The sequence below is a fragment of the Homo sapiens genome, chromosome 8 (genome assembly GCF_000001405.40).
Source record: "Homo sapiens chromosome 8, GRCh38.p14 Primary Assembly".
Taxonomy (NCBI): Eukaryota; Metazoa; Chordata; class Mammalia; order Primates; family Hominidae; genus Homo; species Homo sapiens.
Window position 1 is genome coordinate 35411605 of NC_000008.11, and position 24072 is coordinate 35435676.

The following is a 24072-nucleotide window of genomic DNA, read 5'->3' on the forward strand; positions in this document are numbered from 1 at the left end:
CCTATTTAAAGATGTCCACCCTGGCCATCTTACCTGTAAACCACAACCTCATCATTCTTAATTCCTTTAACTAACTTTATTTTATTTAAATCTTATAAATAGCACTGACATTGCATTATATGTATATTTATTCATTTTCTCTCTTACCCCCTAGAATAGAATCTCCAGGAGAGCAAGGACTGTTTAATTTTTTTTATCAATGTTTATCGGAAGTACCCAGAATGGTCCTTGCCATATTATATTTTTAAAAGTGTTCAATATGTGTTCCTTGAATGAGTAAAATGCTTCATATCTGATTGGCTCTATTCTACTCAAAATGAAAGACAAGATCTATGTCACCTCATGTCCTCGCCTGTCCCCGTGATACAGGGAAATCATTAAAGAGAGAGGAGTAGGTATTTCAAAATGAACACAACATCTTTAACTGAAGAAAGTGTATGTGCTGTTGTTTACCTGACTTTTTAAAAATCACTCTGTTACTTTATTGGTGTGTAAACTGCCTCTGGTCAGTGTCTGGTGGTCTGCTTTACATCATCTTCAGTAGAATTGCTTCCAGTACATGTTGAATGCAGGATTGGCTGTTAGGTTCCCTGAGCTCCTGCCTTTTATTCTAATTTTAGAACCCTCCATTGGGCACCAGTTAGGATTATACTTAAATTGTCCTCACTGACAGTAATGGGGAGAAAATGTTCTTCTTAGATTGGTGGTATTGGCTCTTCTGATCTGATCTTATGCTAAAAATGTAAGCACTATTGCATTGAGCAGAAACAAATGATTTGACAGAGACTTCAGAGGTGTTCCCTTGGGCTAAGGATGCTCACTGTTTCTGTTGCCTGGGCCCCTTGCTTTTTGTATGTTATGACAAAAAAAAAAAAGCACTGAACCACAATCAGAAAGATCTGACTTCTATTCCTAAATACCACAGGTTCTTTATGACCTCAAGCAGAATTCTTAACCTCTCCCTCCCATGGTGTTATTATCTTTAATATGATAAAAGTGTCATCTTCCCTTTAGAAATGGAAATCTTAAAAAGATGAATCAACACATGTAAATAAAGCACTATGAGGCCTTTAGGAAGGAAGTTCTTACCATGAGATAAGACACCAGTAGGTTGGCCATTCTGCTATGTTCTGATGAGACTTTTCTACTGAGTAGACTGCTTGTTATCAGGTGTGGGAGATGGCTCCAGTGCTCTCCTATTTATTGTGCATAAGAGTTAGATGTTCGTTCCAACTCCCAGGACTAGTAATCTAGAAACTGAAAGGAGCTCTGATTCCATGGAGGGGTGCAGGAAATTCTTTGGAGAGGAAGTCAGGTATGCATGTAGGTCTACAGAGGGAGTGCTTCATAACACACGTGTGGGTCTCACTGGATTCTTTTTGAACATATGAAATGTCCTGGTTCTATTGAATTTCACTGTCAATTCAGTTTCTTGTTTACGCTGACAGGCTGCAAATGCGCTATGTAGTGGATTAATGCTAGGAGCTGCATGCAAAGTTTGCCAGTAACTGGTTTGTTTACTTCAAGGGGCAACCATGAATTTCACTGTCTAGTCAATGCAAAACGAATCTACATTAGCTATGTTCCATGCTCCTGCATCTTAGATTTCTGAAGGCACCCCTCTCAGAATTCCTAATCAGGTGGGGGCGGGTCTGTGTGTGTGTGTGTGTGTGTGTGTGTGTGTGTGTTGTGTGTGTGTGTGTGTTTTCTCTCTTCTTCACTGTTTTGGGCAAATTGGAGATGGACATCTGGAGATTAGGGTTTTTACAGACTTTGAAAAAAAAAAGTTATTCAGCTGTTTAACTCCCCTCTTAAACTCATTAAGAATATAGCCAGAAGCCTGAAGCCACCATGGGCTTTTTTTTTTTTTTAACTGCGGCATTCTGCATGTAAAAATAGCAGCTGTTGGTGTGCTGCTGACAGGCATTTATTAAAGGGGATGATGATGATGATGATTGCCCTTTGACTTTCTGCTACTATCTAAGTCACATGACAACATTTAGAAGTAGTCAATTTGATCTTGATGAAAGGATCTCTCTACCCAGGGAACTTGTCATAGAGTACAAAGCCCTGACTACTCACTCCAAATTCCTTGTGATCCATTTAACTTAATGATTATGATCTTCATAAATGCCATGTACAAGTACTGAGACTGGCTTAAGAAATCACAGAAAGTGGATGAAAAAGGAGCTACCATAATCAATCTCTTAAGTGGGTAGCAGAAAGGGTTGTTAGTTTTTCTAGTAGGATAAGTCTTTAAGTTTTCTGTCCTATAGAATATTATAGAGTATGGATGCTACATCAGTGGGTCTTAGTGCTGGTCATATATTACAACCATCTTGAGGGCTTTTAAAAAAGACTTGTTCTAGGGCCATTAAAGCTGACCTCAGATTCTTGACTGGAATGGGACCCAAATCCTGATGTGTTTGTTTTTGTTTGTTTTTGTTTCTGAAGCTCTCTAGGTTGTTTGAAAGTGCTGCTAAGGTTGATAACCACCTGTTTTAGTATTCATTAATTCTACTGTTTAATTTTTTTCTCTGGCTGTATATACTGGAGCCAAGATAGGAACAAATAACATCTAAAATAGACCCAAGAGCATATGACCAAATTGTGATTACAAAGTTCCTCAAAGGCAGGAACAATGTATTTATTTCTCCTTTGTGTGCTCTTGAATACTTATGCTGTACCTTAGTGCAGGATTTTAGTTGTCCTAAAGTTTCAAAATTATGGTGATTACTTTGCCATGTAGTTATAACACATTATCTTACCTCCATCCATCCTCAGACTGTAGCTTCCTTCTTCTACCTTTGCTATACTTTTCTTACAGCTGCTCTTGCCTTATTTAAAAAAATAGTCTACCTGTTGTTAGTCCAATATAGGTGTTCTAACTTTTTATTTACTAACCTAAAACTCTAGAATTAAACCCCAAAACTAGGATCTATATAATGATCCTTTCTTTTATTAAAAGGGATTTTTTTCAAAACTAAAAAATTACACAGGCCATAAGTTTAGAGGAATTTGAGGAAAATTTCTGAGGAAGTTAAGCTTCTTGAAAAATAATTCATTGTCTTATTTGTCACATTTACCACAGGCTGTGAAAAGTCTGACCTGGGCTGAGGTTTTAGAATTTACCTTTGAAGAAATTCTCTCATCAGTCACACTGGTTGTCTTATTCATTCCTAGCTTTCCTTCAACTCTTGGAGGGTCAGTTTTCCAAATCATAATAAACTTAATTTCTTTTTCAGTCCCAGTAGTGAACTTGGAATTATGCACTAGGCCCTGAACAAGAAGACTCATTATTTTTCTCTATTTTTTGTCATTTAGTAAGAAATATTTTCCAATGACTGTCACAATGCTTAGTGGAACTCAACTAGGAGTGTGCCAAATTATCCAGGGAACCTTAAGGTACCTGTGGGTAGACCTCACCTTAGGTCTAAATCAGAATTTTGTTCAAAGAAAGGCAGGTTGGGTGCCTACATAACTATATAAAAACAAAATCATGTAGGAATTCTGCAGAGAGTATTTTGTCTCTCCCAACATTATTACAGAAGTTATGATAGATTTTTCTTCTAGTGTTTTATAGTTTGTTTCTAAGTCTGTAATTGATCAAGACATAATTGTGTGTTGATGGACTGACAAACCTCAGGATTTGGCTTTATTGTTGTCTGGATACTCAAGTCACCCCACATGAATGGGTGATTCTGATGTGAAGTTAGCATTCAAAATTAAATTTCCAGACCCCCTTTGACAATGCAATCCACCTGTTGTTTATTTTCACTTCTTTTATGGATTGAATAAGCAATAAATGTATGTCATATATTATTTAAAATCTATTCAGAGTTAAACAGGGAAGATAAATTCTCCATCTCACTTTGTAAACAAATGGCCATTTGGTTTTACCCTATCTCTTACAACAACCACTCTTTGGTTTCTTGAATCGTCTCCCCCTGATTCCCTTTCATCAAGGTAGCTCTATACTTCTCTTACACATTGACCATGGGATGCAGGAAGTACCCTGTGACTTGCTAATGAGGAATTGTCCAGGCAGCTACTTTGAATTTCTAGTCACCAGCTGTTCCCACTACTTTCCTGACTTTTGTGTTCATTTTTAGTTATACCACTTTGAACACTAAGTATTTCCAAATATATAGCAGTTATGAAGACCATGACTTTTCCCCTCTCTGCTCCCTATTCTCCTACTCTCAATCATGTATACTACATAAAATTTGTAATTATTTTATGGACCAGAAAAGTAAACTACAGTAGAGTAGGAAGATAACTGAGCTTGTATCTGAAAGACCTGAGTTTGATTTGTGCTGGACATTTACCTTGCAAACTGTAAAGTGCTGAGCAAAGTGAAGTTTTGTTATTGCTGCTGTTGCTGTTAGTATTAACACTTACGTGATGCAACATTCCAAGGTACCAAGAAGGGTCATAATTTGATTCTTGGAACACAAGGGATAACTGTTTGAGGTGATGGACACCCCATTTACCCTGATGTGATTATTATGCATTGTATGCCTGTATCAAAATATCTCATGTAGTCCATAAGTCTATACATCTATATACCCACAGAAATTAAAAATTAAAAAAAAAGGTGAAGCATAACCATAGGGAGACTGACTTGGTGTAGGGATGGCACCTGCTGGCTACATTTTTTGATTGATTGCTAACTAGAAAAGGAGAACCGGATTTCAGGAATACAAAGGAATTGTAAAAAACACTCTAAAGAGAAGTACAGAGCCCAGCAAAAGAAAGAAAAGTTCACGTTGTAATGCACTGATTTTTTTTCTTTATACTTAAAAAATGACTAATTGAGAACACATTTAAATCTGGCATTTGGTTTAATTAGTATTTCATAAACAAGTTGATCTTTAAATGCCTGGACAATGTAAATATCAAAAAATGGTTAGTCACTTACAAGAGATAAATTTGAGAATGGCCCTAAAAATATCTAATTGGTTAAATGTGTAAGAAAATACAGGTGGCCTTCCTGTTTTTCACTTTTGTTGTGTTTTAACAAGTGTTTGACTTTGTGATATTTCTTTTCTTATAGTAAGAGTAGAATCAGGAGTAACTGTTGAGATTTTCCAACTGGAAGAGAAAAAAAAAATGTCCATGGCCTTGGTTTACTTATGATCATATTTCACATACAATTTTGCATCAGTTGCAGACAAACTTAATCTGAAAGGAAGCCAGTAAGTATATAACAATAATTTTATTTTTAGCACCCATGATTCAACAGCAAACTCAGTTGTCATTGAGATGATACTTGGCTATTTGAGGGTTCTTTATTTATTGCAGAGAAAGAAGGGAATTCTGTTTATTTTTTATTTTTATTTTTAATTGTTGTGGGTACATAGTAGATGTACATATTTATCAAGTACATGAGATGTTTTGATACAGGCATGCAATACATATTAATCACATCATGGAGAATGGAGTATCCATCCCCTGAAGCATTTATTATTTGTGTTACAAACAATCCAACTACAATCTTATTCTAAAAGATACAATTAAATTATTGACTAGTCATTCTGTTGTGCTATCAAATACTAAGTCTTATTTATTCATTTTCACTATCATTTTTGTGCCTATTAACCATGTCTACCTCTCTCCCACCCCATCCCCACCCCACTACCCTTCTCACCTTCTGGTAGCCATCCTTTTACTTTCTATCTCCATGAGTTTTGGGGGTTCCTTGAAATGATCCCTGTGGATGTGGGGTCTGCAATGATGAGTTTACCTCAAGAACTCATAGTCAAAGAAGGATGTGCAGACTTATTTTCCTCTCAGATTCACTGGGCAGTGTGAGTTTGGGTACTTAGATTAAGCTTGGATATACATTTTAAATAGGATTGATGTGGCTAAGGAGTGGGCTGTACAGATGATTTATTTTCTCCAACAGAGCCATTTGAAAAAAGTTAGTGTGCAGAAAAGCAATATAACATGGAATGAATCAGCCAGTACAGCACTCTGTTCTTATTTTGCTTGAAGTAACAGGTCAAATATATAGATTTTTTTTTAATGACACAAGTCTAGGTGTTACACCAATAAATTTTCTCTTTTAAACATGCTAATCTCTTTTCATTTGCTTATTTATTATGATGTCTTCACCTTTTTGTTATTAAATTTCCCTCTTGAAATGGAAACTGTCTTTTCATTTTAAAAGTAATTGCCAAACAGCCACCCTGGTCATGTTATATTTCTGCTTCCATATTTCTAAGCAAATCAACAAAATAATCATTATGCCAGATACACATATGTAACAGTATTAAAAGCACAGTATTTGTGTCACATAGTAAATCAGTGGAGGGGAGATGATGGGACTTCTGACTCCGATTTCCAGATTTTAACTATGCTAATTTTCAACTCTGCTGAACAGTGCTTAGGTGAGCTAGTTTAAATCAGGTTGAGTCCATTCATTTCTCATTTAATTCCATGACCTTTCCTTTTTGCAGACCCTGAGCCCCCTGCAGAGTGAGTGAGCTTTGAAAATAGAGATAGGGGATTGATTTTAAATATTTTTTTTTACTTTATTAAAAAAAATTCTGTCCTGTTCCTTTTTGTCTCTTACTGCCCAGGGCTAAGGTCAGTAGTGTTCAGAAACAATCTCAATTGTTTATTTTGGTAACCCCTGCCTCCCTGGGTTTGCTCACAGCAATCTCAGAGCCTCCAGGGAGCAATTGTTATCAGAGACTCAACCTGTTCCCTTGCGGATCTAGAGAGTTGCTGCCAACATTTCATTTCATTTTAGTTCCATCTGCGAGTGCCAAAAGCTTGCTTCATACTTGACATGTAAAGGCATTTTGAGCATATTGTTGTTAATCCAAGTGCACATTAGTGATGATTTTATAGCCCCTGTTGCAACCCCTCTTTTCTGTGTAATATAGACCCCTGTTGCAGGCTGATGGAACCAGGAAGCATCTCTGATGAATTAGACTTTAGCATTTTGCTGTTTAGTCTTCAAACTGTGTGTCAGAATGGTATTCAAGATCTGGTCTCAGTTCCTGATTGTTACATAAAAACAAGAAAAGGCGAGAATTAATTGGGAGAACCTCATTAAGGAAAGTTCCACCCCATGGCCACTTCATATCTCATCAGTAATATCATGCTCTGCACAAAACTAACATGATGGAATGTTCTCACCTACGGACGTTGGTGCATTCAACTCGTTCCTCTGTTTCTCCAGTGACTTAAAGGTGTGTCAAAAATTGTTTAGTACAAATTCTTAGGAGGTTTATTTTTGAGTCAGTAAACTGTTTTCAAGGTTGGAAGGAAGAAGTGGTAGACGTGGATATTTTAATGCTTAGGTATTTGTGGAAACAGCCTAACAATTCATAGGATGGTCACTCAATTCTGCTGCTCACTGGGACCCTGAGAATTTGAACAAACTGTTAAGGTGCAATAGCAGAAACAACTAGAAATCTTCCAGGAACACTTATTAGCAGAGAAATTCACAGCTCTATGTGGTTCCCAAAATACAGCCCCAAGTATTACAACAAACTGGCTCATTAACACCACTTTTAAATTACTCCACTCCTTAAGTTGTATGACTGCCTTCCAGTAAGTATGATGCCAATCATATGTGGGGAATCTTTTGAATCTTTGTGACCAGCTAATTGACACAGGATTCTTTTGGTGCTGCTTCACCAGCCAGAAATCTCTGCGGCCAGTGATGCCTCTGCCCAGGCTTCACTCAGCTCCAGGCTCACCGTTGGGCTAGTTCTTCCCACTTGGCCAAGCAGGCTGCACTCAGCTCGCACTACCAGCCCAGATTCCGTGCCTGCTGCAGTTCTGTGCTCAGTCCATGGCTGGTCCCAGCATGCTGTGACTGTCTTCCACCCTGGGTGCCAGCATCTGGATGAGGGGGACATGGTGCCACCAGAAAACTTGGAGAGTCCAGCAATCATGGAGCCCCAAAGGGTGTTGTGGCTTTTGCTTGGGGAGTCCCAAGGTCCGAGCCCCCAAGGGCTGTTACAGCTCTCTCTCCTTTCCACCACCCACAGCGCAGTGGATGGGAGGGAGGTGTGTTACAGCTCGTTCGTGTTATGGCTTGTTCCTGCCACCTGCAGTAGGACAAACAGGGTGGGGTATGTGGTGCCCAGCAGCTTCCTCTCCTGTTGCTTGACAAGTGAGAAGGGAGGATCACAGTGTTACTGGTCCTTTTACACCCACCATTCAGCAGGCTCCAGGTTCTTGTCCTGTGTCCAAGAAGAATGAGGTTGCATGGACAACGGAGAGTGAGGAAGGCAGATAAGGGTTTATTGAATGACAGAACAGCTCTCGACACAATAGAAGACCCAAATTGAGCAGCCCTCTGTGTGTGGGGTGGGGAGAAAGCAGATAGCCCCAGATGTGGCTGAGTCTGGGGGTTTTTATGGGCTCGGAATGGGGGAGTGCATGCTGATTGGTCCATGGGTGGGCCTGGAAAAAGCATTATTTGATGGAATAAAAGGCAATCAAAAATCAAAAAAGGGTTTTCAGCCCTTAAATTGTCTTTGGTTTGAAGGTGAGATTTCACCAGGGACCTGTGCCTGCCTGCCTAGGAATTTGTCTATCATATTGAAGAATCATTCAAGCAACTATTTTTTTGTTTCTTCTTTTTTTACAATAAAAGAACATGAAATTGAAGAAGCTACAGAGCTTTTATTAATATACATACAATTTAAAGCATTCATAAACCTGGAGTATAATTCATACATACCCTCTTGATGAGAGATTTAAGAACAAGATCTGCCTGCCTAGGAAACTTCTCATTAGAATCAATGAACACAGCGTTTTCTCTTCCTATTTCTTTCCCCTCCACTAGTGCCTTCCTGGTGGTTCATAAAGGTGATTGCCAATGCGGTACTCTGAACTGTCTTGTGTGTGTCTTGAAGTAAGCTCTGAAAATGAAATTCAGTATAAAGTGCTTGTTACCTCTATTAATTGGAATACAATTAGTCTGAAGTCTGTGGAAGCCACAACTCAGGAGCAGACTAGCAGGTGCATCTGCAAAGACACCAGTTCCCTCTAGGAAGCCAGATGTGCCTCCTACTCTCCCCTTTGTCCCTTAATAACCTATAGTTTAAGATGTGAGTGACTGGAAAAATCATACTGATGCCTTATTAATTAAATGGTATTAATACCATGGGCTTTTTTTTTTGTTTCCTAGAGAGACTGCCATTTCAGTGTGTTGGAATAAAGTATATATATTTCTCTCATGCCTTAGTACAGAAAGGGTAGGCCCAGGAGAACTATAAAAAAATCATTATTACCTAAAGTATCTGACAAGTCAAGTAGGATACAGGTCAGAAATGATGTGTGATGACTTTGTTCTGGCATTACCAGAGACTGACTTAAGTTATAGGTTAGTTGCTGCTATCATTCTTTGTAAGACTGATCCCAGGCTAAATGGTGAAGGTAGAAAATGTCCCTTTTTCATAGCTTCTATTGAATCCCTCTCCATTCCCTCCATCCATTTAGGGACTCTTGCCACAGAGGACTACCTCTTCTGTGCCCATATCAAGGTTTGCTCTCAGGAAAGGTTATGACATTAACCTTTATCTAAACGTGCCTCAGTGGTTTATTATCTCAAGAACACAGTAGGAGTAAGTAAGGGATCTGTGCAATTTGGAAGCCAAACATGACTTCTTGGTATCTCTGAAATGGCATGGGCTGAGGTACAGGCTTTGTGCTAGGTAACTTGCCCCTACTTGGCAGCTGTACCTGGAGAGCCAGTGGTGCCATCTGCCTGAAGACCTCACCTAACGCCTGTATGGGGAAAGGGAGAAGAGAATTATTAGTATTGGGGAATAAACATGATTTATATAAACACAAATTAAAAGGCCACTATGTTATTAACAAACATATACCAGATTCTTACTGAAGATATTCAGGCGATAAGTACAGTTCTTGTTTTTAGAGACTTTTAAATTTTACTTTAATAATAGGAATTGTTGGTAATTCATCCAGTTTTGTATAAAAACTAGTTTTATAATGTAAACAATTTTTTATTGATTGCATTCTTTTATTATGAGCATGTATTTGTATAGTTGTAAAATAGTTATATATCAGATATCTACACATATGTATATATCATATATTTATGTACATATATATGTACTCACACACATAGAAAAATACAACATTTATGAAAAAATAGGAATAGTAAACCCAAATAATCCCACCCTTCAGGTTTAGATTACTCTTGGCTAGTCTAAACTTTTCTTTACACCATCATTTACCTTTTAAAAATAGTGAGAAATAAAACTTAAACTCATCATATCTACCGACCTATTCTACAGTGGGCTTTTCTGAATATATATTCACTGATGCTCTTCTGAAAGACTCAAGATAAAAGCCAAATTTGGGACAGAATAATATACCTTCTACTTTGTTCATGTCCATTAAGAGAATCTTTTTTCAACAATTGTTACATTTTGGCTTTTTTAACTCTGAAATGATGTTTTGTGTGTGGTAAACCATGAACGGTATAGCCTCACGCTGGGATTGTTGCAGTGATTAGATGCCTAGAGAGCCCCATCTCACACTCTCCGAGCTGCCACCAGTTGTCACCGGTTGCAATATGGCCCCTTTCCTGCAAACTTAGGGCCTACAGTAAAGGCCAAAGTTGGACTGCTTATTAATGGGACTCTCTGGAAACACCAACACCAAAGAACGTGCTAATAAAAACGTGTCATGCTTAGAAAGAGGTTGGAGAAGACTGGGTTTCATTGGGAGACCATTTTCTCAGTTATTCTATGTTTTGCTGAGCCAAGTACATTTGAATCAATCCTGGCGGAGAGAGAGTTTGACTGTTCTCTAAAGGGACAATATTCTTTCATTGTCAGTGAATGTCTGGAAACTTAGCTGTCATACCTAGTAGGAGACCACTCATTGGATTCAATCACTAATAAGCAGGAGAATTGCCTCTGCAATACAAAATGACAAAAGATGTCTTGCAATTGATGCTAAAATTCCATTTCTCTACAAATTTCAGTATCTATGCACACAGATAATTATTTTTTCATGTGACCAAAACCAGTGCTGATTTTGTTTACATGAAAATTTGGACATGGTTTGGCATCACTTGAAATCATAGTAATGGAGAAAAGGACTATTATCGTTTATTGAATACCTACTATGTGCCAGGTAGTAGGGAAATAATTCCATTTAATTTACACAACAACCATGTGAGGTATGTGGTATTTTCTCCCTTTTGGAAAAAGGGGATGGAAAAATGTGAACATAATCTGTCCTCAAAGCCCGTGCTCCCCCTAGTCTATGTGTAGTTACAGTAATTAAAGTGGTCACATGGGTAGATGTTATATTGGAGGCTCTCAAATGCCCCACAGATGAAGAAACAAAGCCTCCACAAGTTTCAGTGACTTGCCTCAGGTTATGCAGTTACTATGTGTGAAGAGCAGTTGCTGGAATCCAGGTTTTGTACTTGTCCTCCAGTACTGACCCCCACCAAGTGAAAATCACCCTTTTGCTTTTGAGAAGCAGCTGCAATGCAACTTAACCTGTGGTTTAGTGGTCAATTTTATGACATGTGCATGGAGAACAGGTCTTATAGTTCAGTTGGTGAGGAGAGAACAGAGAACATGGTTGTGTTGAGCAAGAGTCCTCCTTGTGAGTGAGACTTACACATCCACTACATTAGTCCCTGTCACCACACGTGCCCTTGAGCATCTTCACAGATAAGCTCAGGGGCCAGGTTCTGCCCTACAGATGCTGTGCTCACTGCAGCTCCAGCATTGTTCATGACATCTTCCCTCTCTGAAATGTCCTCCTCCTTCCTGCCAAGTCAGCTGCTCCTACCTCAGGTTATAATAGATTGTCTTTTACACACATAAGCCCTGGTCTTTTCCCTGATGAAACTATTTTGAGGTCAGAAACCATGTAGCTAATTCTATTTTTCTCAGTTGATTTGTAGACACTTGTGCATAGAAATTTCCTCAGATTTTCAGTGTTTCGGTGTAATAAACAGGAAAATGGCAAAAACTTGAACTAATACTGTTTTGGCAAGTACTGCTTGATTGTTAAATTTGTTATGACAGTTTTTAACAAGTGTCATGTTTTGGAGACAAAGCAATTGGAAACTATCTCCTGAAGAATGGAAAAGTAGGGGCAGTATTATTTCTACAGAAGTATGAAGAATGACTGCCCTTAAATTGAAACTAAAAAGTTTGAAATGAAGCTGAAGTGACTTAAGAAATAATAGAAGAGTTTGTAAACTGGAAGATGTTAATAAGGAGTACTTTTTTTTTTTTTTTTTTGAGACAGATTCTCACTCTTCCCTGCAGGCAGAAGTTCAGTGTTACAGTCATAGTTCACTGCAACTACAGGCATGTGCCACCAAGTCTGGCTAATTAAAAAAAAAGTTTTTGTAGAGATGGGGTCTTGCTATGTTGCCCCAACTGGTCTGGGACTACTGGCTTCAAGCCATCCTCCCACCTTGGCTTCCCAAAGTGCTGGGATTATATACATGAGCCACTGCACCCAGCCAAGGAGTACTTAATGCTGAGGGAGTTTGAGGGATTTTCTTCTGCTGAATTGTTGTATGGGTAATGAGACAATGTATGGGAAAGAAAATTAGAAAGTCTATAGAAAGGCAAGAGATGATTCATATAATAGCTATAAGCCACATATATACTTTTAAATGTTTTAGTTATCACATTAATAAAAAGGAATGAGAGAAATTAATTTTAATGATATATTTAACATATATGCAAAATATCATTTCACCATGTAATCAATATTTTACATTCTCTCATTAGTAGTAGTCTTGGAAACCCAGTGTGTATTTTACACTTACAATAAATCTCAGTTTGGACTAGTCTCATTTCAAGTGCTCAGTCACCCATGTGGCTGGTGCCTACTGTACTGACAAAGCAGATCCAGGCTGTCAGTCTAGGAATGAGCTAAGAAGTGTGTGTTTCTTGTGTCAGCTACAGAATCTTCTACAAAGCTTTAAAAAACAAGATTCCCTAGACCCCATTCCTAGAGATTCTGGCTTGGTAAATCTGGGTGGGAGGCTTTCACATCTGTGTTTATGAAGCTCTTCAGGTGATCTGGAGGTGACGCAGATTCAGCTACACACTCATCTCTATAGTGTGGGCTTAGGACTCATGCCCCTGCAACCTGGGAAGGAGCATCAGGAAATCTGGAGGCCTTCTCTTATTCTTACCTTCTCCAATTCAAGCTGCTCTGCTCTTCAGGAGGTAACTCAGTATGTAACGTATTTATAGCAATGAGGAATTGGCACTTTAGAAGTTGACACCTAGGTGGTGTGTTCTACAGGGCTGCTGACTTGTTTTCTCCATTTAAGCTGTGGTTGTGGGATAGTGATGGGGATGTTTGTTAGAATGTGGGTGATCATGTACTGGGCTGAAATTGTTCCCCTTCCTGTGTCCATGTGTTCTCATTGTTCAATTCCCACGTGGGGTGGGGGAAGGGGGGAGGGATAGCATTAGGAGATATACCTAATGTTAAATGACGAGTTAAAGGGTGCAGCACACCAACATGGCACATGTATACATATGTAACAAACCTGCACGTTGTGCACATGTACCCTAAAACTTAAAGTATAATAAAAATAAAAAGAAAAAAGAAATTGTTGCTTCTCTTCTCACAAAGGTGAATGTTAGGGAATTTATCTTTACCTTTGGTTTTTTGCCTCACCAAAATGCATGTTACTTATAAAAACTTGGCGTAGAAACCAAGTCAGTAAAAAGGCAGAGATCTGGGAAGTTTCCACTTCAGTCCCTGGCTAAAGACATTATTCTCTTAGCTATCCTTTCAGCTCCTTAGAGCTTCTGTTTATCCAGGCACAAAATGTGGTAAATGCTGATGTGTAAACTCTCCGAGACCCCCACCCCGGTTAAAACACTGCTGTGCTGGGTATACTGTGTCACCTTAGGATTATGGTAAGCCCTGCAGCATGCCCGTGAGTTAAGTAAGTGTTTATAGAAATGTGAACAAAGCTGTACTTTAGAAGGTCAAATTGACTTGCTCAAGGACAATGCGTTTCTCAAGGGCTCTGATTCTCCTCCCTCAGAACCAATTGTCTTTCTCCTATTCACGTCTCTGTCATCCTCTGGCACCTTTTCTGCCAGTTCTACCCTGCTCTGCCCTTCAGAGGGAATATATTGGCAGGCTCTGAATTTGTGAGGGTTTGTTTTCTGGTTAAGTAACAATTACCTCTCTTCTTTTTAATTGGACATATCATAATTGCACATATTTATAGGATACATAGTTATGTTTTGATACATATAATATATAGTGATCAGACTGGCGTTTAACCATTTCAGGGTCAGAAGAAACCTAAAAACCATCTGGTTTAGGCACTAACATGATTTTTGAACGTCCTTTTTAGTAGCCTGACACATAACCCTCCATGTAACGCCATGAACGACAGAAATTTAACCAATACCTAAGGCGGCCCATTTCATGTTTAAACAGTTAATTTTCTCCTTTGTTGAAACCAAAAGGCATATTCCTGTAAATTCTACCCTTTGAAACTACATAGGATACCGAGACATAAGAACTCTTCAAGTGTTTGACAATAAGACGTGGATTCTTCCCACCACCATCAAAATATTCCACTGCCTTTTCTTCCTTAGGCTGAGTAATTGAGTTCTTTCAACTGTTCCTCATAAAACATGGTTCTAAGTAGCCTTACTGTCCTTTGAATGGAATTCATAGACTATTCCTTAAATATACTACTTTAAACATAATTTGATCAGTGCAGAATCATAACAAAATTAGAGAATTAGGGAAAATAAAGATGTAAAAAAAACTTCTGTAAAAGTTTTCTCCTCTCTTCTGAATAATCTTGGCATTTGTGATTTCAAAAATAATCATCATGACACCTTTAGTATTATGAAGATGAAACCAAGTCAGAGGAAACTAGGTATCTTTGCTCTGCTAAACATACTCTTCTAGTATCACACTAGGAGAGTTATTTTGAGGTTAACTTAATGTAATCAGTAAAATATCCTGCAGTTGTTTTATGGGGATGTCCTTTTGTATTTCTTAAAGGCATCTATCTTTTATTTGTACAGTTACCATCCTTAAAACTATTAAAAAGGTGATTTTTTAACTTCAGAGTTTTGTTGCACCCACATGCCCCTTTTCAATGTTAGAAATTAAACAGCAGGGAGATTTAGGCTGAATGTTCCAGAACCATTATTGTTAGCTAGACCTCTGAGATGCATTCAGCTTTGCAGAGCTAACGGAGTATTTAATCTACGTCATTGCTTGGACTCTAGGGTAGTCACCCAGTGGAAGGCATTCATTTACCAAATTAAAAGCACAGTGAGTAAAAGCCATGGTATTATTTAAGCACATTTATTGACTCCCATTCTGGTACTATTTACTGAATTTCTTGGTGATGGAAGATGATGAACGAGTTGATTTTTGCAATCACTTGGCTCTACTAAAGGTAAAATACATCTTCTTTGATTTATTCCCCTGAATTGACCAAACAGCTTTTAGTAGAAGTGGAGAATATTCAGCTCCAGCTCAATATAATATGTAGAATTCAGGGTTCCCCCCAACTACCCCTTTGAATTATTCTGTTAGGTCTGACAGGTGAAATTTCCTAATAAGAAGATGCTGACATGCTTGGTATTCAAGGCCGGCTTTCACTTCTGCTGACATAATTTCCTCCTTTCTCTTCTACTGAATGTTCACATGCACATAGGTGAGTAGACACACATGTGCATAGACAATTGAGTGCTGGTCCTCACAAACCCACCTGGGGCTACCTTGGGTGGCATCTTGCTAGATGGGAAAACAGAACAATGGGTCCCGAGATTTTCAGACTGCCGCTGTATGAAATTCTACTTACCAAATTGCTTTTATTATCAGTGAATTCCCCATGTGTTTTAGCAGGGTGGATGTCAAACATAGTGAGACAGCTTTGTCCATCATCAGGCCTGAGAGACAAAGGGATTGGCACTGTTCTTTGAAGAATGAGTAGGGATATTAGATATAGATGATGAAACATTGATAAAGTAGGAAGAAGTTGTTTATCACAGACTATTTCAGTTCGGATCTTTCCTGTTCTGTGATCCTGATAGGAGTCTCCTGTAATCCCTGTCCTTTCATATATTAATATACTGATCAGACTAGAATAATTTATCCTTGGTTCTCTTTAACAATTTTGTCCTCACTCAAAATCCTCAATGTGAAATCAGTATGATCAAAAGAAAGTTGACTCTGGAAAGCTCATTATAAATTACAAGCTTCTGGGATATATTTCTTTCCTGCTGATAAAACTGTAAGCCACTGTATCAGGGCAGTGCATGTAAAAACTCACTGATGCAGTAGGAATGGTGACTGTATCATAGAGTCCTGGTTTACAAACACTTTTCAATAACAAAGTCTTCTGGCTTGAAAGAAATATTTTGTGGAAGCTCAATATTTGATAAAGATAAAGGAAGTGCTGCCCAGACTGAAATGTAGATGGATAGTTAGAGTCTCAAAGTTAAGAGCAAGGTTAAGAACCTTACTCAGGTAGCTTTTCCCACATTCATGGAAACAAATCTGACACCCAAGGGTATGTCAGGTCATGTTTTTAACTCTACTTCCTCTTTTTGAGACAAAGTCTCACTCTGTCACCCAGGCTGGACTGCACAGTGGCGCCATCTCAGCTCAAGGAGCCCTCCACCTCCAAGGGCTTAAGCAATCCTCCCACCTCAGTTTTCTAAGTAGCTGGGATTACAGGTACATGCCACCATGCCTGGCTATTTTTTTTTTTTTTTTTTTTTTTGAGACAGGGTTTCACCATGTTGCCCATGCGGGTCTCAAACTCCTGGGCTCAAGCGATCCTCCTGCTTCAGCCTCCCAAAGTGCTGGGATTATAGGTGTGAGCCACTGCCCCCCGGCCAAATCTACTTTCTTGCAGAATAAATGGATTGTGCTCCTCCTTGGCTCTCTTCTGCCCCACTGAAGACACACTTTTCTTCTGTGCAGCATAAGAACCCTATGCTGATGTTTGGCGGCTATGATACACATGCACACTCTCACTTCCCCATAAACTTTTGTTAGATATCCATGTTTCACAATGGGTACCTGAGATTGTGAAGCTGGTGTTGAACCCTTGACCAGCAAGGACTTATCCAACAGGGTTTTCTAACATCACTTAACTGAAGCCAAACCAAAAGAAAATAAGTCTGTGGTAGTGACAGCTCAGATATGAAAACACCACCAACCAACCATCCCTCACTGAAGAGAGAGTGACTACCTTCCTGACCATTTTCACTATTTGTGAAAGGCTTTATTGACTTTAAACAAGCAGAAGAAAATCATTGAAAAATAAGTAGACAATTCACAAAGAAATCTAATATGTTAATTGATTCGTCATTGAGAAAATGGGAGATGTGACTAAGCTGGAGTAAATCCATCTCTTAAAAGACTTTGTCCCAGTTTGCTGGTTAAATGGAAAATATGGTAGCTACATCCATAAAAGTGAGATCTGCTTGCTATTTTATGCTTCATTTAAATTGTATAGAACACATCATGGTTAATTGTCAGCATGAAAATGGACTATTTTTCAAAAGCTGCAATAATCTTCATTTTATCCCTTTCTTCTTTGATAATGAAGAACTAAGGAATCCTGTGGGTTAGTCTTTTTAAGAGGTCAGGAAGTGTTGTGCTAGAGATTCTGAGCTATAGGTTTTTCATAGAGATAGCAATGAAATGAGATTATGAATTAATTAATTAGATTTTCTCCATGAAACCTGTTTTTTTTTCTTTTTCCTGTATAGGCATTTCAGTGAATAGTCAGACTACCACTAACTCTCTGTTTTCTCTATATTTGTGACTTATATGGGTTTGTTCAGCTCAAATGGTTACTTACAGTGTCATTCTTAAGATTTTAGATACTGATGTCAGAGCATAAGTATACAAACTTGTTTTGTATTTTATTATATCATCATTAATTTCATTATTTAGCCATTAAAGATAAAAATATTACTAGAGGAAATGAGTTATTTAAGCTTTCTCTACAAGGTATAAAATAACACTTTTTTTCCATTTTATCAATCTTATAACAGTGCAATTTGTGCATGATAAACTACATCAATTTAAAGAGTATTCTTTGAGGTTTCATTCAGCCACATTCAAGATAGAGAACATGTCCATCACCTCTAAAAGTTTCTTAGGATCCTTTGTGATTTCTTCCTACCCTAGTCCCCAGCCCATGACGACCAATGATCTTTTTTTTGTTACTATAGAGCCTAGCATTTTGTTTTCATTTGCCCCAAAACCATTTTCTCGAATTTCAAGACTGTTTTTGCATTTGACAAACAACTATATTTCTTTCTGTATCCTTAGTAGTTCTATAGATTTTGACTAATGTGATATTGTGAAATATATATTTGGTCTTTGTCCCACTGTTATGAAATACAACTGCTAATATCCCTGGAGTCCCCAAGGTGATGTCTTTTGTGTGCTAACAAGTTGAGCTGGAGGGCTGGCAGCTCCTAAGTAGCTCCAGGATGGTGACTGGTCACTAAAAAGAACATGGCTTGACTAGAGGATTGGGACTTTCAGCCTGCTCAACCTCCAAGGAGGAGAGAGGAGCTTCTCCTTGGTTATGTTGATCACCAGTGGCCAGTGGTTTAATCAATCACATTTACTTAAAGCTTCCATAAAACCCAAAATTATTGGGTTCAGAGAGCTTCCAGATAGCCGAACATCTGGATGTTTCTGGAGGCTGGCACACCCTGAGAGGGCATGGAAACTCCACACCCTTTTCCCATGCGTTGCCCTGTGCATCTGTTTATCTGTACCCTTTGTAATATCCTTTATAATAAACTGGTAAACATAAGTGTTTCTGTGAGTTCTGTGAGCTGCTCTAGCATGTCAATTAAACCCAAGAAAGGGGTCACCAGAAACTCTAAAGTTGATCAGAAGCACAAATGAAACAACCTGGGGATCGCAATTGGCATAGGAAGTGGAGGGCAGTCTTATGGGACTGAGTCATTACCTTGGGAGATCTGATGCTATCTCCAGGTAGATAGTGTTGGAATTGAATTGAATTAGAGGACACCCAGCTGGTGTCCTCTGTAGAACTGATTGCTCACTTGGTGGGTGGGGGAAAAACCTCCACATATATATGGTCACAGAATTATTCTGTGTTGCATGAGAACAGAGGAAAAACATTTTTGCTACTGAGAACAGATAACCCCTATCAGCTCTGTTCTTCCCAGAGGTTTAAGATCTACCTCAAAGCCCAGAGTAAGAGTGCAGAGTGACAGATGATGGAAGAAGCACCTTGGTGACAAATACTAAATCACACACACATGCATGCATGCACAAACACACTACTTAAGTGCTGTCGTAGAATGTTGAACATTGTGATGGACACATGGCATGAAAAAGTTTGAGAAAGTATATTATTGTTATTACCTCTGTGATCTTGGGCCAGTCATTTAACTTCCTCAGTTATCTGTATACTTGAATATTAAATGATGGTAAATAATTATATGTTAACCAATTGTTATAAACTGTTAATAAGATAAACCAGGAATCTTTATTGACATCTGCTTCAGTTTCCATTTTCAAAAATGGGTAAATACTTGTTTAAATATTTCCCTGTAAAAGACCATAAGTGTAAAAAGGGTAGTTATCATAATGGTTAGTGAAGTTCATTTGAGGATGTCCATGACTCAGTTATTCATTCAGTTTATTACTCATCTGAACATCACCACCTGCACTGGTCATTTTGAAGAATGCATAATTTTACATGGAATTTATGCTTAATCTTGTATTATTTAATTTATGCTTATCATGTGCCTAGAATAAGAAATTAGGAATATAACAGATTATAACTTAAACATTTATTTCAAGATGATCTTTACCATTATTTTCAAGGCTCCTTAAGTAAACAAAAAAGAATGTTTCTAGGACTTCAAAAAACCAATGCTAGAAAGAAAAATGCGGTTATATTCCATCTGGCTTTTCATTGAGGAAAGTATAAAAACTCTGCAACTACAATAGGTTATTTATGGAGAAGAGCTTGAAAATAACACCTGAACACTTATTTTATTTAGAATTAAAACACAAATATTATATATACCAACATATATTTTATGGACAAAGTACAACAATTTTCAACATCAGATAATGAAATTAGTTTGGTATTATTTTTGATATCACAGTACATAGTTTTCAGTCTATATTTCGATAATGTGTGTTTGCTTTCCAAACCTAATACAGTGTAATATTTAAAAGTAATTTATGAATTCGGATTTAACTCAAATAATAGTAATAATAAATTATTCTTGAAATAAAGCAGAATGAGCCATTTGTTAAATGACAGAAACTAAACAATTTTCTTCATAAGTTACAGTTAACTTTAAATTCAGTATTAAAATTAATTTTATGACATAATCCTTAAAAGCATATTGATTTTAATTTAAACTTCTTTATTAAGTCACAAAGGAATGGTTAAGAGTATGGCCTCTGGAGTCAGTATACCTGAGTTGGAATTCTGGATCTATAATATACTAGCTGTGTGACCTTAGGTAAGTTATTTAATCTCAGTTTATTTATCTATACAATAGGGAAAGTAATGCCACTTACATCGTAATATTATCGTGAGGATCAAACAACTTTAGCTGGGGAAAATATTTAAAATAGCATTTGGCACATAGAAAAACCTCTATTATTGTTGTTATTATTACCCCATCCTGAAATAGTTTTTTAATTCTCACAGTTTTAATGAGACAACATTATTATGACATAGTTTTATAAATCAGAAAATTATGGGAAGTACTCAGTTGGAAGATGTTTAATTTTCTTTCTCTTGTTTTACAAAGTACCTCTTCCCAGGCTGGCTTGAGGTGCTGTCCAGGGTGCTGAAAAGCCCCACATCCACTTCACTCTTATCAATAAACTTTATCCACTTCACTCTTACCAATAAGCTTTATAGTAAATATTTTAACTCCAACTAGAATCACTTGTGTTAGAACAACTTGGGGTTAGCTCATAATTCTATGCAACTAATGTTTTATGCTTGCTAGTGGAAAAGCAAGAGGAAAGTGTTTCAGGGTGGAATGAGCTGGAAAAACGGGTCCCTCATCAGTTAAATAATAAACCATCTTATCTTACTTGCACGGATATAATATTTGTGTATTTTTCATCTTTGCATGAGAATAAAGGTTTCAGTTTCCCAACTCAATTCACCAAATAGTTGACTGTCCTGCCGGAGTACTTTGATCTGCTATCACTTTCGAGGCCAAGGCAGCTTTGTCTGGTGCCAAGAACAATTAATTTCCTTGAAATTCTTATAAGGAGCATTTCATTCTGTTACACAGGTAAATAGCAATGTACAAACAAATACAAAATATATTTACTGATTAACTGTGAAATTTGGGGAGGTGAGAGACCATGTCGTAAACATAATTATATCCTTAATAACTAAAAAAGTGTTGGCACTTAACTTTTTATGAATTTGAATTGAATACTTAACTGATTTCTGATGTTCGATGTGAAAGCTAACACATTTATTTTCATTGACTATCTTTGCATGAAGACTTGTGTGATGAATTTCTATTAGTATGCCAAATTTGTCTAAAAAGAACAAGAATCAAATTGTAGTTGGATGACCTAATGAAATAGTGTGGTCTCAAGAGGAGATAGATCTACCTGGCACTTACAAATATCTTGGAATCTCTTCTTTCATCTCAAAATGTTTATGTCCTTGGTCCATTTGGTCCATTTGTTAAGGATGTAATATTGAGTCTCAAATCATTTAAAATGTTCTTTTTCTGACTTTCTAAAATTTCCTTCTTGCTTTATGATAGCATATGAGAGGAAAAGCTAACAGATTCACTAAGGAAAGAAATGGTAACTTACACAAGTTTACATGTATTAATTTCTATCAACTCCCCCTTCAAAAAAAATAATAAAAATTTACTCAATTCAGTTATGAAAAGACTCCTTTTAAAAATAGTTGCTTATTTTATTAGACTAGAATATGAACATAAATGAATAGAATATTCATGATGCTAACTTTACATTTAATTCTTATATCTTTTTAATTGGTTTATAAACCATCAGTACTCAAAGGCCATAAGAATAAAGAAAATACTATTGGCCAGGCATGGTGGCACATGCCTGTAATCCCAGCTACTTAGGAGGCTGAGGCAGGAGAATTGCTTGAACCTGGGAGGCAGAGGTTGCAGTGAGCCGAGATTGCACCATTGCACTCCAGCCTGGCAGCAGAGCAAGACCCTGTCTCAAAAAAAAAAAAAAGAAAGAAAAAGAAAAAAAAGAAAATACTATATTCTCATTTATACCAGTGGAACTTTCTTAATTAAATTATGATCTTTATCAATTATCTTTCCTGACTCCTACTCTATTTTGTGACATAGGCTTGCAATGTATTCTATGATTCTCACCTTATTTATACAATAATTTATTTTAAAGCTAGCTTTTTTTAGATATTAAAAAGTCAGAATATGTAACATAATGATAAGCCTTGATATAAAGCACTAAAATCTATTGATTTAGGAAAGTATGAATTTTAAGCTTAATTGAAAAACCTGGTGAATTTATGAAGTTTTGGCTCAAAATTGACAGTAAATTAAATCTCAATTTCACGTGGATTTTACGTATCAGCTCATGTATAAAATTGAAATATGGAAATAAATTTGGTAACATTTTAATGAAAATGTAGCAAGTTCCACTAATGAGAGTCAATGATTCCATTTTAGATTTAAAAACTATCAATTGTTGTCTTAGAGTTCCTCCAAAGTGAGAATTTTTTTTGGGTGGGGGTATTGGAAATTAAAGTAAGTAATTTTAAATTTTTTTTTATTTTAAGTAATAACTATGTTAACAGAAATAATCTGTTTTTAAACTTCTCACCTGGAAATGTACAATATTTGCTTCCAGACTTTTTACACACTATTGGCTTTTTTGGTAAGAAATTATTCCCCAGAATAAATTAAAGTTATCTTTTCTTCTTCCACTTTAACTTTGTCTCCTCTTTCATAAATAATTGTCATTCTCTTATTATAAATCAAGATACAAAACTTGTAACATTAATACAGTTCCACAATTTAATTAGAAGTGGTTTTCATATACCATTCATTAGGAGGCATATATTTTTCATGATATACCAAAATTTAAAAGCAAGTTAGGAGCGTGAAAACTTACATGATAGTTCTTTCCTAGATCAAATTGCATTAAAAGCAAACAAAAAGTGTACAGTTTATGTAGTAAGCATAAAATATTTTCTCTGGTAAATGCTAGACCTAAAGCAATGATGTGGTCAGTTATTAGTGAAAAGATATGAACCAGTTCTTGGTCTGCTATTCAAATTGTATGTCGTGTGTGTGTATCTGTGTGAGTTTTATTCTGGCCATATCTTCATCTGTGCACTTAGTGAATCCTTCTACATTAACTGGTGCTGAACCTAAAAAAAAGTTAAAGATCTTAAACTTGGAAAGACTGTGGAGTATGGTTTTTTCTGAAGAGGGTTCACTGATAATTTGGAGTTTTTAATCTTTTTTGTTTTTTATGTGGGGTTTATCAAAATTACTGTATCTATTTTATATATAATTACCAATATGGTAAATTCTTAATTTTGTTTTGAAGTATCTTAAACACTATAAACAGATTAATCCAAGAACACTTGAAAGATTAAATATGATTCACATCCTAATGTAGACATTAAAGATTGCATTTCACTTTTGTAGTAACAGAGGATAGGTTATAACTTTCCAACAGTAGCAAAACATTCTCTGTCTTCACTCCTACATTTCTTCAATGCATTTCTGGAGAAAGCTGGCAAAAGAATTATGCTGGCTAAAATGTACTAACTTAGTAATACAGAAGTGCTACAGTTTCTAAGAACTAGTAATTACAGGTAGAATGACATTGGAAGTTGTATTCAAATAGTACAGTAGAGCCATGTGTGATAACAATAATCCAATTGACTACATCATTATAATATTTCTAAGCATATGAAACAATGTAAGAATTCATTCAAAAAAATGTAAAGCTTTTTTGGAGATAAAATGAAAATAACTCATAAGGGCCAAAGAAGTAAACAAATGTAATCAA

The 24072-nt window shown here is 36.9% G+C and overlaps 1 protein-coding gene across 17 annotated transcripts in view, besides 1 other annotated feature; it reads left to right on the forward strand.

Moving 5' to 3' along the window:
• UNC5D (unc-5 netrin receptor D) overlaps window positions 1–24072 on the forward strand; it is a 561066-nt gene that overhangs the window by 176130 nt on the left and 360864 nt on the right. The window lies entirely within an intron of this gene.
• Window positions 20754–20954: a silencer, noted in NCBI's record as "peak6991 fragment used in MPRA reporter construct". NCBI's record gives its function as "represses an SCP1 promoter by STARR-seq MPRAs in K562 erythroleukemia cells {active_cell/tissue: K562}" and the evidence as "EXISTENCE:reporter gene assay evidence [ECO:0000049][PMID:32103011]".